General features: G+C 46.6%; 1 protein-coding gene across 2 annotated transcripts in view, besides 5 other annotated features; it reads right to left on the minus strand.

The window, feature by feature from the left end:
- The window catches only part of SMYD3 (SET and MYND domain containing 3), a 757,933-nt gene extending 744,295 nt beyond the window's left edge, over nucleotides 1-13,638 (minus strand). For both annotated transcript variants that reach the window (NM_001375962.1, NM_001167740.2), the window contains exon 1: nucleotides 13,413-13,638. In NM_001375962.1, coding sequence (NP_001362891.1) covers nucleotides 13,413-13,576 — 164 coding nt within the window. In that variant the 5' untranslated portion in view covers nucleotides 13,577-13,638. The remainder of the gene's footprint in view (nucleotides 1-13,412) is intronic.
- Nucleotides 12,589-13,089: an enhancer, noted in NCBI's record as "H3K4me1 hESC enhancer chr1:246669532-246670032 (GRCh37/hg19 assembly coordinates)". NCBI's record gives its function as "activates a minimal SCP1, AML or CMV promoter by ChIP-STARR-seq in naive H9 embryonic stem cells {active_cell/tissue: H9 hESC(naive)}" and the evidence as "EXISTENCE:reporter gene assay evidence [ECO:0000049][PMID:30033119]".
- Nucleotides 13,090-13,590: an enhancer, noted in NCBI's record as "H3K4me1 hESC enhancer chr1:246670033-246670533 (GRCh37/hg19 assembly coordinates)". NCBI's record gives its function as "activates a minimal SCP1, AML or CMV promoter by ChIP-STARR-seq in naive H9 embryonic stem cells {active_cell/tissue: H9 hESC(naive)}" and the evidence as "EXISTENCE:reporter gene assay evidence [ECO:0000049][PMID:30033119]".
- Nucleotides 13,276-13,325: a silencer, noted in NCBI's record as "silent region_2033". NCBI's record gives its function as "represses an Ori minimal core promoter by ATAC-STARR-seq in GM12878 lymphoblastoid cells {active_cell/tissue: GM12878}" and the evidence as "EXISTENCE:reporter gene assay evidence [ECO:0000049][PMID:35858748]".
- Nucleotides 13,596-13,775: a silencer, noted in NCBI's record as "silent region_2034". NCBI's record gives its function as "represses an Ori minimal core promoter by ATAC-STARR-seq in GM12878 lymphoblastoid cells {active_cell/tissue: GM12878}" and the evidence as "EXISTENCE:reporter gene assay evidence [ECO:0000049][PMID:35858748]".
- Nucleotides 14,265-14,497: a silencer, noted in NCBI's record as "fragment chr1:246671208-246671440 (GRCh37/hg19 assembly coordinates)". NCBI's record gives its function as "represses an EF-1alpha promoter that drives an FKBP-Casp9 reporter gene in an ReSE screen in K562 erythroleukemia cells {active_cell/tissue: K562}" and the evidence as "EXISTENCE:reporter gene assay evidence [ECO:0000049][PMID:32094911]".

Raw genomic sequence — 17,234 nt, forward strand, 5'->3', positions numbered from 1 at the left:
GAGCAGTAGTATCACCACTATTCCAATAGTTCAAAACCCAGCACTCACCCTTCACCACAGAGCACTACTGTCACCACTATTCCAATAGTTCCAGCTCAAAACCCAGCACTCACCCTTCACCACAGAGCAGTACTGTCACCACTATTCCAATAGTTCCAGCTCAAAACCCAGCACTCACCCTTCACCACAGAGCAGTACTGTCACCACTATTCCAATAGTTCTAGCTCAAAACCCAGCACTCACCCTTCACTGCTTCCTTGCCCTTTAATCGGTCAACAACGTGGGTGAACTCCTCAACATGTTTGGTTCCAGGCCCTCTACCAGTCCCCTAGCTCAGGCCTTCATCACTTCACATCTAGAATAACGCACATTTTCTCCTAACTGGAATCCTCATCTCCAGTCTTTCCACTTCTCTCCCTCATCACAAAATTCACCCAAATCAGGACTCCTACACAAATCTTCCATGTGCACCTCATACTGCAGCCCAAAAATCTCTATGGGCTCCTCAAGAGTTGTACCTAGAAAATAAAGTTCAAAATCTCTTAACCTCAGCAAGGCCTTCTGTATCACAGACGCTATCCCAACTTATAATCTATCATCTATACAAACAGCACTTCGCTGCAGTCATAATGGTCTACTAAACAATGTATGCACATTTCCCAATTAGTTATTCCTCCATAGTTGTTATCTCTACCACTTATTTCACTGGTATCATGACTTTTTTTTTATTCCTTTCCCAAAGGTTCTCAACTCTGGCTATGCATTAGCATTACCTGTGAAGCTTTAAACAATTATGGGACCCTTAAGGATGTTGCTCAGACATCTGGATATTTTTAAATTCCACAGGTAAATGTGTAAAATACCAATGATTCATAGATTTTAAGTAAGTCTTTTTGTAAGATGCTTAAGTTTTCACCACTAAAACTGAGCATCCAATATTAGAGTCAAAAACTCAAAAATTAAACTGCCCAGAGAAACTGTTACCTACTACCCAAGGTTTCTTGATCATTGGTACAACATAAATCTTTCCAATTAACATCTACTTTCTAACAAGACGTAAACACAGCAGCTAAAAAATGCTAACAAGGATTAAATTTTTATATACTCAAATTCATTTGTGAGAAACATCTATCATAACCATGCCAATTAAAAATTCAACATAATTCCTGTTTGTCCTACCTATGACAATTATTTAAATGTAAACAGAACATGCTAATGTCAATGTCCAGTTTAAAACTGAACATGCAGAATTATTTATAGATATTATAAGCAGTTGGACTAATCCCAGCTGTGGCAATTTTACCTTAGCCCTTGGATATAAAGGCACAGAGAAGCAGGGAGTCAGTGAAGATGGAAAAGAAAGATAGGAGCTGTCAACCCAGACTGCTCTATAATAATCTGGGGAGTATTAAAAATGTCTATGCTCTGCCGGGCGCGGTGGCTCACGCCTGTAATCCCAGCACTTTGGGAGGCCAAGGCGGGTGGATCACGAGGTCAGGAGATCGAGACCATCCTGGCTAACACGGTGAAACCCCATCTCTACTAAAAATACAAAAAATTAGCCAGGCGTGGTGGCGGGCGCCTGTAGTCCCAGCTACTCGGGAGGCTGAGGCAGGAGAATGGCATGAACCCGGGAGGCGGAGCTTGCTGTGAGCCGAGATCATGCCACTGCACTCCAGCCTGGGTGACAGAGCAAGACTCCGTCTCAAAAAAAAAAAAAAAAAAAAAAAAGGTCTATGCTCCAGCCACACTCCAGACAAATTAAATGAGAATCTCTGAGGGCAGGACCCATGCACCAGCATTTCTTAAATCTCCCCGAGTGCTTTCAATGTGTAGCCAATGTCGAGAACCAACGAGTTACAAGGGAATTTCTCAAAGGAAATCTAAAGATGAGAGCTGTTCAAAGACAAACACAAAGAGGGAAAAAGTCCCAAGAACTAGTTAGTTACTTCAGAAGTAAGTTGCTTTCTCTTATCAGTTTATGAACAATTTTTACATATTACAAATATACACTTTTTGGCCATGCGAGTGACTCACACCTGTAATCCCAGCACTTTGGGAGGCCAAGGCAGGGGGATCACTTGAGCTCAGGAGATCAAGACCAGCCTGAGTAAATGGCAAAACCCCATCTCTACCAAAAATACCAAATAAAAAAAAAAAATTAGCCAGGGGTGGTGGCACGCATCTGTGGTCCCAGCTACTCAGAGGGCGGAGGTAGGCGGCTTAGGTGGCAGAATTGCTTGAACCTGGGAGGCGAAGGCTGCAGTGAGCTCAGATCATGCCACTGTACTCCAGCCTGGGTGACAGTGAGACTTCACCTCAAAAAATAATAATAATAATAATAATATTCCTTTTTATGTTGAAATATTTTCGTCAGTTTCTTGATTTTTTGTTGTTGTTGTTGTTATTGTTTTGATATGGAGTCTCACTCTGTCGCCAGGCTGGAGTGCAGTGGCATGATCTCAACTCCCCGTAACCTCTGCCTCCCGGGTTCAAGCGATTCTCCTGCCTCAGCCTCCCAAGTGGTTGGGATTACAGGCGCACACCACCACGCCCGGCTAATTTTGTATTTTTAGTAGAGATGGGATTTCACCATGTTGGCCAGGATGGTCTCTATCTCTTGACCTCGTGATCTGCCCGTCTCAGCCTCCCAAGGTGCTGGGATTACAGGCGTGAGCCACCACGCCTGGCCAGTTTCTTGATTTTTTTCATTATAAGATGGTTCATTAACATAAGGATGTTTTTAACTTTTATATATTCAAATCTGCCCAGTCTATCAATCTATCTTATCCCCTTGTGGTTGCTCTTATTTATTTTTGCTGCAAATGCTATAAGAACAACAAAAAGAGGACTTGCTTACATTATAATTCTCAACCCAAGTAATGAATTTTAAAAATCAGTATTGGCCAGATGCGGTAGCTCATGCCTGTAGTCCCAGCACTTTGGGAGGCCGATGCAGGTGAATTGCTTGAGCCCAGGAGTTCAAGACCAGGCTGGGCAACATGGTGAAACCCCATCTCTACAAAAAATATAAAAATTAGCCGGGCATGGTGGTGCATGCCTGTGGTCCCAGCTACTCAAGGCTGAGGTAGGAGGATGACTTCAGCCAGGAGGTTGAGGCTGCAGTGAGCCAGGAGCACACCACTGCACTCCAGCCTGGGTGACAGAGTGAGACTCTGTCTCAAACAAACAAACAAAAAGATCAATATTAGCCTACTGTTATAAATGCTTTTAAATGTTTAAAACTAAACATGAATAGGCCGTGTATAAAACAGTAAACTGGCAACAAGTAAACTTTAAAAAGGAAACATTCTTGATTGTACTATATTTAAACAACTAGTAATGGCTCTGTCCATTTTCACTTTTCAAATAGTAGAATGAGATATAAAACACAAGGTTATCCCACAAGTGGCCTTTATTTTTTCTATACTAACAAGTAATTATTATGTCAAAAACTAGGGGAAAAACTCATTTACACAGAATCTTCTTGTAGTAATAAACTGTAAGGAGATCAACAAGCACAATTTTCCCTCCAGATCATACCAACTCCAAGTAAAACTACTAGTTTCAAACATAGGTTTCGACTCTTATTGTGAAAAACATGGTCATCATCAATAAGCCACTATACCATGTAAATTTCATTAGTGAGTTTTATATAGATATTTATGACAAAATTTAACTTGTTTGCCCTTTTTTGGTCTAATTCAAAATAAGAGTTAATGGCAAATGTCAGAGGCTAAGAACAGTTTGGAAAGGGGGTTCATGAAGGAGACCACTCAGAGACAGTGTTTTAGTGGCTAAAAAATAAGTTGCCTTTCTGAAAAATATTTGTATGCTTTTTACTCCATTGTCCACCAGAGGGAGCATCACATCTGATTAAGAGATAATGGGGAACTCCCAGATAGAAATGGAAAATCATCTGAAACTTGATCTACGAGGTGCTACAGATGGTAGCATATACAGTTAAATGTAAAATCAAATCAGAGAACCCCCAAAAGAATCTCAAAGTGAGTGGGAGGACAGCCTCCTAGGGAGATCTCATCTCTAAAAAAAAATTTTCTTTTAATTAGCTGGGTATGATGTTGCACGCCTGTGGTCTCAGCTGCTCAGAAAATTCTGGAGGCTGAGGAGGGAGGATCACTTGAGCCCAGGAATTCAAGGCTGCAGTGACCTATGATCAAACCACTGCATTACAGCCTGGGTAACACAGGGAGACCCCAGTCTCTAGAGGAAAAAAAAAAAGAAAAGGAAAAAACAAGAAAAATGAGCAAAAGATAAATACAGACAAATCACAAAAAGATATAAATATGGCCTTTAAACACATGAAAAGATGTTTAACTTCACCCATAATGCAATTTAAATGCAAATTAAAACTATACTAAGATCCCACTTCTCACCCATAAGCTTAGCAAAAATTCAAAAGTTCAGGCTGCAAAGCTAAGGGAAACAAGTACTCACATACATCATTAGTGGGAATGCAAAATGGTACAACCCCACATAGGTATTTACACCTTGACCCAGAAATCCCATTTTGAGGAATCTACCCTGAAGATACACCAGCAACAATATAAAAATACACACATGCAAGGTTATTCATTAGAGCAATATGCACAATTGCAAAATACTGGAAATTGCCTAAATATCCACACATAGGAAATTAGAAAGTACAGTGGATACATAAAATTGAGCATTATGGAGCTATAACGAATAAGGAAGATCTCCATGAACTGATAGTAGAGTGATTTCCAGTAGACACAAAGATAATGAAGCAAGTGCAAAACTAAGAATGGAAAATAAGAACACACATATAGGCCGGGCACAGTGGCTCACGCCTGTAATCCCAGCACTTTGGGAGGCCGAGGCGGGTGGATCACGAGGTCAGGAGATCGAGACCATCCTGGCTAATGGTGAAACCCTGTCTCTACTAAAAATACAAAAAATTAGCCAGGCGTGATGGCGGGTGCCTGTAGTCCCAGCTACTCGGGAGGCTGAGGCAGGAGAATAGTGTGAACCTGGGAGACGGAGCTGGCAGTGAGCCGAGATCGCACCACTGCACTTTAGCCTGGGCAACAGAGCAAGACTCCGTCTCAAAAAAAAAAAAAAAAAAGAACACACATATATACTTGCTTATCTTAAAAAGAAAAAATATAAGATGAACCAGACGCTACGGTCTGAATGCTTATACCCCCCAGGCTGGAGTCCAGTGGCACGATCATGGCTCACTGCAGCCTTGACCTCCTAGGCTCAAGTGATCCTCCCACCTCAGCCTCCCAAGTAACTGTGATTACAAGGGTGCACACCATCCCACCCAGATAATTTTTTGTTTTTTTTTTTAACAAGATGAAGTTTCCCTATGTTGCCCAAGGTGGTTGTGAGCTCCTGGCCTCAAATGATCCTCCCACCTCGTCCTAACAAAGCACTGGGATTACAGGTGTAAGCCACCACTTGATTAAGCCAGACTTTAGAGAGACATGAAAAAAATGTAAAGCAATGCAATTCTCATTAAATTTTCGTTGTTTTAAAAAATACACACGGGCCTATAGTCCCAGCTATTCGGGGGACTGAGGCAGGACAATCGCTTGAACCCAGGAGGCAGAGGTTGCAGTGAGCCGAGATTGTACCACTGCACTCCAGCCTGGGCAACAAAGCGAGACTCTATCTCAAAAAAAGAAAATATAGTTTGATTCCTTAAAAAATTGTTACAACATAATAAATTTACATATATGTAACAATTTTTTAAGTAACCAAACCATCAAATATACACACACACACACACACACACACATATATATATTTTTGTTATTGTTGTTTTGTTGTTGTTGGGTATTTTTTGGAGGCAGGGTCTCACTGTGTCACCCAGGCTGGAGTGCAGTGGCGCAGTCTCAGCTCACTGCAGCCTCCACCTCCCAGGTGCAAGCGATTCTCCTGCCTCAGCCTCCAAAGTAGCTTGATTACAGGCATGCACCACCACATCTGGCTAATTTTTGTATTTTTAGTAGAGACGGGGTTTCGCTACGTTGGCCAGGCTGGTCTCAAACTCCTGGGCTCATGTGATCTGCCCACCTCGGCCTCCCAAAGTGCTGGAATTACAGGTGTGAGCCACCACGCCCTGCCTTAAATTTATGTTTAAATAGGTATTTTCAAAACTTAGTTTTAATTTTTATGCAATAAATATAAATAGATAAAACCCACATAAACAAAACATCATCAGCACTCTCAATAACGTTTTTTAAATCCCTATCAAATCCATTTTGATAATTTGTAAAAGGATAAAGGGGTCCTGAGACTAAAAGGTCTGAGAACCACTGGTCTATAACACCAGCTGCCTTAAATGCCAGAGTATGTTAAGAGCAGGGGCTGGGGCTGGGGACTGTATCGCTTCTGTTGCCTGATAATGCTGGATTCTGCACTACCATCACCACAGACACTGGGCCCTGCTGCTGCTGCTGCTCCTTGGGAAACTGGTTGTTGCTGGAGAGTGATTCTCTCAACCATTCTTCTTTGTGATACTGGCTTTTATTCAAAGTCCTCAGAGAGCATCTTAGATTGACCGAACTTAGGTCACTGCCCGCACCCTAGCTGCAAGGGAGGTTGAGAAGGTATTTAGCCTTTTTGGCTTTTTCGATAGAAGGCAGACTTGGTCTACATCCCACCAATAGTCTTCCAATGAGGAAATCGGCAAACATAAACAGTCAAAACCACAAGCATTAGCCCATTGCTCTAATTCTTTCTGGGAAGGTCAGAGGCAACCTTGTGGGGAATATCACAGCTCTATCAAAGATTCTCAGTGGATCTTAGAGATGGTGGTATTACACACAGGGAAGACAAATCCAAGTACAGGAAAAAAATTGATATTCCAACTGACTCCTCCATGACAAAAAGTTCTACCATAATAACCCGACACAAGGTGGCTGGCTGGTCCTGAAGATGTGTTGCCATTTGGGGAATCAGGACCAGTTACTACTGGCAGCAAACTGGGCACTCTGTACCAGCAGAAGCCACATGGCTATCATGAGGGGAAGTCTGTATTGTTGAGTTCCAGGCACCAGCCTCTATCCCCGTCCCCATGGTTGCTCTGTTCTTGAGCCTTTTGAGCAAGCACCAGGCTGTCTGAAGAACAACTTACTGCTATCCACAAAGCAGGTCATCCTGTCTGATTAAGAACGCCCTCTGCTGTGGCATTCACATGGACCAAATGTTTTCACCAGGGCTCAGCCATAAAGCCCTTTCCCAAACCTCGTTACAGAAGAAAAGGAAGCAGTAGAAGAAACAGGAATTATGACTCCCACTTAAAAAGAAAAATGTAGTCACATCCATAAAGTCCTTTCCCAAACCACATTATTATCAATTCTTCCACCTTATTTCAAATCCTAGACCCATTAGCCACTGCCCAGGAAGTTGCAAATCCTACTTCAAGCCATCGTTCAAGGTTCTGCTCTTTGAAATGATTTTGCTAGTTGCTTGACCTTCAGGGCCTCCAAGGAAGAGTCTGTAACACTGCAGCAATTCACTTACGCCTGGTGCTAACCATATTTTACAAAATCAGCCGTAAACCCAGTAACGTCTTTTTACATTATTTTCACAGAGGTAAGTGCTTCCTTGTCTCCACTAGCCTCTTCTACTCTACTGACCCTTAAACCTTGGGTTATTTTAGCCAATGTGAGAATTCTGCCTTTGCTGAAACTATTCATGCCAATGTCTAACATTCTTAGTAACTTCATTATTTAGATAATTCAACTAACCTCAGCCTTTGGGTTTCCTGACCAAAAATCTTTTCTTACTCCCTACCTTGGCCACATTCTGCCACACCCCGTACCTGTTGTATCAAGACACACACTACTTCTAAGCATGTACATATCAAGTCAACCCATTATCTGACCACTCACCATTTCTCTGACCACATGAGGACCTCTAATCCATTGATTCGGCCACATTTCACTGGCCATCACCTTCCTTACGACCTCATTCCCTACCTGAGAAACCATGATCCACAATTACACCCTCCCTTGCCTACAACTTCAACTTCCCGTCCCCTCTCTCCGTCCATCATGCTAACCTAGCAATCCTAGGTAAATCCAGTTCTCATAGCCAAGCAGCTGGCAATTGGGAGAGAAAGGAAACATGACCCAACTAACTGTTCCCACTTTAAATAAACAAACACAAGTTTTAAGTAGACCCTCAGCACTTTTCAACAATCCTACATTTCACGAGGCAATTTATGCTTCTCTCCTAGAAGACTATTTCCAATCTCTCCTAAGGCTGAGTCACTTAGCAACCACTTCCCTAGCGGTCCTTAAACTTTTCAATCACCACTGCTGTTGCCTTTTCTGGCACCTCTTCTTCTTACCCTCATATATGAAGATGTTCCCTTCCATCTCCACCCCAGGTTCAGTCCTTGGCCAAGAGACATTCCATCATCTCACCAAACACAGTGAGTTATTACCCTTTATTGCCTGGTCACATTTACTCACACTGCAACTCAAATGCAGCTGCCTTTTTTTTTTTCTTTTTTTTTGAGACAGGGTCTCACTCTGTCACCCAGGCTGGAGTGCAGTGGCGTGATCACCACTCACTGCAACCTCCACCTCCTGGGCTCAATTGATTCTCCCACCTCAGCCTTCTGAGTAGCTGGGACTACAGGCATGCACCCAGGTAATTATTTGTATTTTTAGTAGAGACAGGGTTTTGCCATGTCGCACAGGCTCATCTTGAACTTATGGGCTCAAGCGATCCACCTGCCTCGACCTCCCAAAGTGCTGGGACTACAGGCATGAGCCACCATGCCCAGCCTGCTTTATCTTCTATAACTCATCTAATCTGTCTCCTGAATATGCGCCATTTTTTCTATAATTAATCTAATATTCCTCATGAATATCTACTCTAATAAATATCCAGGAAATTTAAAACTTGTCAAACAATATCTCAATCTCTTCCAGTTAATACTCAGACTTTGTTTAACTCCTTACCCGGGCTGGTTTAAATGGCTGCTTTCGGGTAGATTTCCCTCCAAGGTCTTATCGGACATCCTAGAAGAAATAGTGGCAAGAAGACCTTGGATCTGTGTTGTTTCTCTGGATCCTCACTGGTCTCTGCTGCAAGGAGGTAATCAGGTCCTATGGCTGAACTGGTCCCATCTCATCTTTTAGGATGTCATGCTGGCTCTCATCCCTGGAGTCTGTGATCCTGACATTCAGTCTATAGTCACACAGTCTTTTGTCATGACGCCAGCTGTTCCACCAGGCCAATAAGCTCCTCCACCTCCTTCACAGTGGTATGAGAGCATTTCAGAATCCCCTGGTACCACAAACTCAACTATCTAGCCACTTCCTTCTACCACTGCTGTGCTATAGGCCCGTGTTGGCCTATCACTAACCTGCATAACATCTCCTCTCAAGATTCCACATAAGGAGCAGAGCAAAAGGCCTTCTACTGCTGACCGTCCCCTCAACCCATTTAACATCCCCACCCTAACCCTAGAACTTTAGCCAGCCAAGAAAGATCAGAACACATATTTCTCACAATCTGTTTTCCCTACCTCTGTCCCCCCGCTGCCCACAATCCACCAGGACTGAAAGGGATGACACGTCTACTTCCAAGTCATCCTCCTTCCTCCTGGGAGGCACTAAGCCTCATTCTCAGCCTTAATGCCAGATGAGCTATTCTCTTTACCCTACAGAAGAAACTATCATTAGAGTTTGCCAGAAGTAACTCTTGATATGGAAGCTGCAGGCAACTTGGAACTTGAGAAAACCAAAGACAAACATACAGCGACTTCAAGTTCCCCAAAATATTAATCCTTGAATGATTAACATCTCCCATGTGGTAGGCCCTGGGGATATAAAAAAGATTAGACTTAGAGCACTACACTAGGGAGTGAGAAGGTTTACAAATACAATCATAACAATGGAATTTTATGTGCTGCACTCACCAAAGCAAACGGGAAATACACATAACTCATACCCAATTGTCAACCAACCTGTTCTACCTCCATCAAATTAAAAATGCATGCAACGGCAGAAGGACAATATAAGTGATTTCAGGCCGGGGACAGCGGCTCACGCCTGTAATCCCAGCACTTAAGGAGGCTGAGGCGGGTAGATCACCTGAGGTCAGGAGTTTGAGACCAGCCTGACTAACATGGTGAAACCCCATCTCTACTAAAAATACAAAAATTAGCCAGGCGTGGTCTGTAATCCAAGCTATTAAGGAGGCTGAGGCAGGAGAATCGCTTGCACCTGGGAGGCGGAGGTTGTGGTGAGCCAAGATCACACCATTGCACTCCAGCCTGGGCAACAAGAGCAAAACTCCATCTTAAAAAAAAAAAAAAAAAAAAAAAAGTGATTTCAGGTTATAATTTCATTGCCATTTACTCTTTCTACAACTTACATACTTCATTTTCTTTTCCAGGCACAACACGGAAAAACCAGAAGCCATTCCTTAATGAGAGGAAAAAGGTAAGATAAGCCATGAAGCAGGTTCACCTTTCTCCATTAACAAAAACAAGTATACAGAACTAAAGCTACTAATCAAAACAGCTCTAGAGCAAAGGAAATCATGTAAAACTTGGTAACCATTGTTTCTGGAGCCTAAGGAAGTAGAGATGTGCATCCCTTAAGGACATCATGAGGTGATTTCATTGTTGTAGGAACATCATGGTGTATCCTCACACAAACCCAGACTGTACATACAGCCTGCTACACACCTAGGCTAGCAGGTATTGTCTGTACTGCCTACTGCTCTGAGGCTATAAACCTGCACCGCGTGTTACTGTACTGAATACTGTAGGTAACTGTAAAACAATGGTAAGTATTTGTGTATCTAAATGTACCTAAACACAGAAAAAGTACAGTTAAAAAATGATATAATCATACAGGGCCACTGTCATGTATCTGGTCTTTCGCTGACCAAAATGTCGTTATGCAGTGCATGACTGTAATTATCATCAATATCTGTTTTTTTAATTCTATTTTGATTTTTCCTTTCCCATGTAACTGTTAATTGCTACAAACTAACATTTTCATTCCATACTTAATTCAGATGGAAGGCAGCAGAAGGACAGGGGCAGTTAGGAGGAAAATTCTGCCAGACATTCATACTAAAACTAAGGGCTTACTATGTGTTAGACACTGGGGCTACAAAAACTGAAAGATGCACTATTCTTAAAGACTTCACAATGGACAGTGAATAAAGAGAAACAAATTTTACTTACAAGATGACAAGTAATACAGAAACTTATCCCTCAAGGACAGGCATTCAACAGTGGCAGAAAACTGCATCAAACAATGCGCTAACATTTCCCTAACACTATTTTCAGGTTGCAGTGATTCCCAACCAGGCTCTTTGGAACACTATAACCACTAAAATGGGAGTGTTCAAACAGAGCAACTACTACCACAACACAAGTGAACTGTGTATCCTGGCAATCCAAAGTAAGTGCAAATATTTTGTGTCTGTGTAAAATACTAGTAAGTATTTGTCAGTCATTATGAAGAATCTGTTTAGCTTGTTTTGTTTAGATGCTTAGCATTTACTTATATCCCTTTTTCTATGTTTATGTTTGCTGATTTCCCCACTGGATAACTATCGGTGGGAAGTAGAGTGAGCCTGCCTTCTATCTTAAAAGCCAAAAAGGCTAAATACCGTCTCAACCTCCCTCGCGCTAGGGGTGCAGGCAGTGACCTAAGTTTAGCCAATCCAAGACACTCACTGAGGACTTTGAATAAAAGCCAGTATCACAAAGAAGAATGGTTGAGAGAATCACTCTCCAGCAACAGTGAGTTTCCCAAGGAGCAGCAGCAGCAGCAGCACCAGGGTCCAGTGTCTATGGTGTTCGTGGTACCTACTGCAGAATCCAATATTATCAGGCGACAGAAGTGATATACACCCCAGATCCCAGCCCCAGCTACTTTTGCAGTGCAATCCTAACTTGGTTCAGCCGATGCCCAGTCAAGTCTTGGCAGACTTTAAAGCAACACTGAGAACTCCCCCAAAACTCTTTCATTAAATTCCTTTTTTGCTTAAATCCCCAGTTACTGCAAACAGGAAAAATGAATGAGACTAATGAAATAGTATGGTAAATCAACAAGCATCCCACCCACAAAGGGTTTGTGTAGCTTATTTTGGAAATGCACAATTCCGTGTGTCACAAGACTCAACTTCAGCTCTAATGATTCAATTGCCAATTTGTCACCATTTATTCATTCCAAAACTTTTCTGTTCCAAGAACTATCTTGAAAGGAACGAATTGTTTTCAACCACACAGTTTACAAAAACTTCAAGATGCTGCTCTCTCCCGAACAGATGTTTTCGCTGTTATCATTACTTCAGAAAGCAACAGACAAAATTATTATTTGGTAGCTCTAAAATGCAAAGTCATATTCCTGAATTATGAATCAAATGAGAACAAAGTAAGAACAATGGTCAAATTACAGATACGAGTTTTGCACTTACCGTCCCACCTCCACCCACCTAAATCTCAGACTGGCAGGTCTGAAAAGCGGCCATGCACAAAATCATCGCACTCATCTCAAAATAGAACTCTTCTTCCTCGCACACAGAAGCTCAATAATATTTGTTGACTGAATGCAGTTCCTATTATTCATGTATGTTACACATTTCCATAAATTGCTTTCACATAGCACTTTACACCGGCACAGCGCGTCCAGGCTTCCAAAACACCTTCACGTGAATCCCTGCATCTAGAATGGTGGTTAAGAGTTAGACATGCCTGCACAGCCATTAAATGGCACAGCACACGGGGGACCCGTGTCTGATGCTCCCACAGCACATTAATTGCCCCTCTATTTCAGCCCTTCTGGTACACTGTAATTCTCTCTCTCACTTGATCAGCTCTTTGAGGAGGTCCCGTTCCTCTTCGTATCCCCAGGCCACACACAACCCAGACCACAGAGGTGCACCGTAGACATCAAGATTCTTCCACCTGCTGCAAGCCTGATGCTTTACCGGCGGGGCCTCTGCAGGGGAGCCTGATTTATACTCATCCCAGCTCCCACCCAGCCCCACGCCCGCCACGTGTGATTTCCACAGCCGCACCAAGGAAGACTGTCCAGCACACAGACTTTTCGTCTCCCAGCAAAATTATCCCCGGCACAACGCTTCCCCCTCAAGTCTGCCCAATGGCTTTCCCATTTCCACCGCAGCCCAGGTTGGGGGGCAGTGGCTGAGCCTGGGCCCCCTCCCAGCCCCGCTGCGGCAACCTAGGGGGGTGTCCGGGCGGGGCCTGTCAGCAGCGACCCGCCCCCGGGCACACGCGCGTCAGGGGCAGCACCGCCAAGCTGCCTGTGCAGCCCCATCCAGCAGGAGTCCCGCGGCTGCCGGCCGCCCGACGCCCCCCCCTCCCCAGCACCCCACACAGCTCGCGACTCAGGTAGGCGAGGGCGCTCCTTACGCACCCGAGAAGGCAGCGGTCGCAGACGACGCCACGACTCCCCTTGCACACCGTGTACGCCAAGGGATCCGAGCGGAAGAGTAGCTCTCCGGGGCGCAGCGGGGTCACGGCGCGCAGCCCGTTTCCCCTCTTGGCGGTTGCGAACTTTTCCACCTTCAGCGGCTCCATCCTCCCGCAGCTCCGGCACCTCAGACGGCTACCCGCGTCCAGCAGCGGGCGTCTCACGGGCTGCCGGGACCCGCGCGCCTGCGCCCTGCGCGCACACGTACGCCCGAGGGGCGGGGCGGGCGCGGTGGGGCAAGAGCATGCGCAGATGGAGTCTGGAGGGACGGCTGGAGTGGAGTGTGTGGGACCTGAAGGTGGTCGTAAGGCTCCGCGTGCGGCTCGTGCCCATGGCGACTGCGCAGAAGACAGGCGGGGTTTTTTTTCTCCCTCTAACATTGTATTACGATCATTTTAACGCATACGGAACAGTTGAAAACAGTGCAGTGAACACCTATATACCTCCGCCTAAATCAGACAACCTAGCACTTTGCCATTTCTGCTCGTCACTCTCTCCCCACCTGTAGCTATGTATACACGTATTGTCGTTAAACTATTTCAAAGTTGCAGGCATCATGACATCACAACTAGTACTTTGCACTGTAACTTTTTTTTGTTTTAGGACGGAGTCTTGCTCTGTCGCCCAGGCTGGAGTGCAGTGGCGAGATCTCGGCTCACTGCAACCTCTGACCTCCGGGTTCAAGCGATTCTCCTGCCTCAGCCTCCATAGTAGCTGGGACTACAGGCATGTGCAATCCTCCCGCCTGGGCCTCCTGACTAGATGGGACTATAGGCTCACGCCACCATGCCTGGCTAATGCTTTTTACTTTCCTCCAGAGACAGTCTACCTATGTCGCCCAGGCTAGTCGCAAACTCCTGGCCTCAAGTGAACCTGAACCTCCTGCCTCGACCTCTCGAATTGCTGGAATTACAGGTGTGAGCCACCACACCCAGCTTAATTTTCTTTTTTGTTTTTGGGGTTTGTTTTGTTTTGTTTTGTTTTTTGAGACGGAGTCTCATTCTCGCCCAGGCTGGAATGCAGTGGTACGATATTGGCTCACTGCAACCTCTGCCTCCCGGGTTCAAGCGATTCTCCTGCCTCAGCCTCTTGAGTAGCTGGGACTACAGGCGCCTGCCACCACGCCCGGCTAATTTTTGTATTTTTAGTAGAGACGAGGTTTCACCGTGTTAGCCAGGATGGTCTCGATCTAACCTTGTGATCCGCCCGCCTCGGCCTCTCAAAGTGCTGGGATTACAGGCGTGAGCCACCGCGCCCAGCCCACCCGGCCTAAATTTCTTAGTTTGGACAAACGTGCCATGGTAATGCAAAATGTCATTATTAAGGGCAGCTGGATGGAAGGTGTAGGAGTACACTATAGTGCCTTTCAATTTTTCTGTGTATCTAAAGTCATTTCAAAAGTAAACATTTATTTTAAAACATGAAGGTGGTTATGCTTCCATGAGTGTAAAGTACAAAAGGCAGGCTCGTGGTGCTGTCAGAAGTCAGAACACTGGTTTCAGGGCTGGGGGTGTTGGGAGGGGCTGGGCATGGTTGGCTTTGTGATCTGGGGGCTGGTGTGTTCCATCTGTGAATATCTTTTAAGCTGTGCACTTACCAGGGATGTAAGTCATATCTTAATAAATTTTCATAAGTTTGACAAAAAATAAAATGAGGATGGGAAGCTTGTTTGGGTTGTGGGGCCTCGGGTGCTTATCCAGCCATGAGCTGTGTCCCAGATGCTTCTAGAAGCCTGGAGGGAGCTGAGAACATTCCAAGTCGAGGTGGCAGAGCCAAGGCCCTGAGGTGGGAGCGCAATGCTGCACATCCCCAGCTGTGAATGGGGTGTCCTGGTCAGAAGCAGTGCTGTGTGCACTGCAGGGCCGGCAAATCCACGTCCACATTGTGGCTTGGTGCAGTGAAAGCCAATCTCAGCCCCCTCCACAGTGTGATTAGCCTGCCAGCAGGTGGCCAGCTGGTCCTCCTGGGAAATGGTGCCAACCCAGAGACTGGGTGCAAGTGTCTCATCCACGGAGGGGCGCTCAGCAGTGGTGTCAGCCTGGTGAGCCTCGGTAAGGGCACGTGCAGGATGCTGAGCCTCTTCCGTTCCCATGCCCGTCTCAAGGCCACTTGCTCCGTGGGCCCATCCAGCAAGCATGGTGGCCAGGAAAGAAGCCGGCTCCATTCACAGGGCGTGCTGTTTTGCTCACCTCAGGACCAAGAGCATCCTCCATAGTGATTCTCTTTGGTGGGAGCACTAGAAACATGAACCACAGATACCTTCAGCGTCTGAGCCGCTGAGGCGAGGGCTGCAGGACACCCTGCTGTCGGGAAACCCTGCACTGGCGGCTGGAAGGCATGTGGTGGTGGCGCCTGCTGTGGCTGCAGCAGTTGCTGCGAGGCTTCGGGATCTCGCCGGCCCCTGCGAGGTGAATTGTGACAGTGCAGAGCTCCGTGGTACCAGGGCCCCCTGCATGGCCATGCTGACTGCAGCTGGGAGCCCACCACACCTCTGGTTCCCCGCTCTTCCCAGGGCTGGGGTCTAGGCCAGGCCCCTCTTGGCCTGCGAATTGTGCCCTGGGAGGGGGACACTGTTCCACAGGTTGGGACCAAGGACCCAGGGCATGCTACTGGCTGGCTGGGCTGCAGGGATGCCATGCTCACCTTTCTCTCTCATGGCCTTGACGGGACCGGCTTCCTCATTGAACAGCATTTTCCAAGGTGTCTGGGATTGCTGGTGGGGTGCCACCCTGGCTCCTTCTAGGCATGCCCGTCATTGGCCACCAAGGGGGCCAGATGCAGGTGCCCATGCTGCTGTGGGGGCATCTCCCAACTTCCCTCTTAGTCCTGATGGGCCTAGGCAGGGCCTGATATGGGGGTCCCCATGGGCTTCCGGGGCTAAGCCTGCCCCATGGTCCCAGGGCTGTCCAGGACACATTCAGAAGGGACATGAGCTCAGCAGCTCTGTTTGAAATTATTATGGAACCAAGGGCCCCCCACATCCAAGTCCACTGGGAGTCGGGACATGGAGTTCCGCTGCAGGTACCTCCAGGAACCCCGAGGTCCTCCTTGAGCCAAGGCCAGGCTGGGCACACCATAAGTCCTGGGTCCCCCAGAGAATGGCCTGCTGCCCTGGGCTCCCCAGAAGCCCCCTCACGCCCCTGGGCCTTGGCCACATGGAAGCCCCACCAGGACAGGTGTGAGAGGACAAGGAACCCATGGTGGGGAAGCAGACCAAATGGGCCGCTGGAACCAGGCTGGTGGGCCAGGGGGCACCTGCCCATCCCCCTTGCAGAGGGCCTTCCTGCCACGTGAAGCCAGCACAGCCCTGGCTGCTGAGGACCCTTGCCTGGGTTTGGCTGAAAGAAAAACAGACGTGATCAGGCAGCACCTCCAGTGGGCCCAAAGAGTCCTTTCTGGGCCGGGCCCCACCTGCCTGGGTCTCCGGAGTCCTCAGGGTCTCTCGGTGGCCCCTGGGGTCTGACACTGAGGACACACCTGCAGGCTGCTGATCCCAGAGGGAGGGGTGTGTGTCACCTGGGGTAGGGAAGCTGTCGGGGCACAGCAGGTGGCTCCTGGGACTGCCCCCCAGGATTCAGGCTGGCTGGGGGCTTCCTGCCCCATGCCCTCATCCCAGGGCTGTTGGGCCTGGTATATGATCCCCAGTCAGAACTCAGGTGGGAGGGGCCTTGGCTGTCACCCAGCCCCCTTGCTACCTCACTTGGGGACCTGTCTCTACCATGAGTAAGAGGGCCCAGATACGGGGCCCCCTCTGCCCTCCTGGGC

Source organism: Homo sapiens, chromosome 1 (assembly GCF_000001405.40).
Source record: "Homo sapiens chromosome 1, GRCh38.p14 Primary Assembly".
Lineage (NCBI taxonomy): Eukaryota > Metazoa > Chordata > Mammalia > Primates > Hominidae > Homo > Homo sapiens.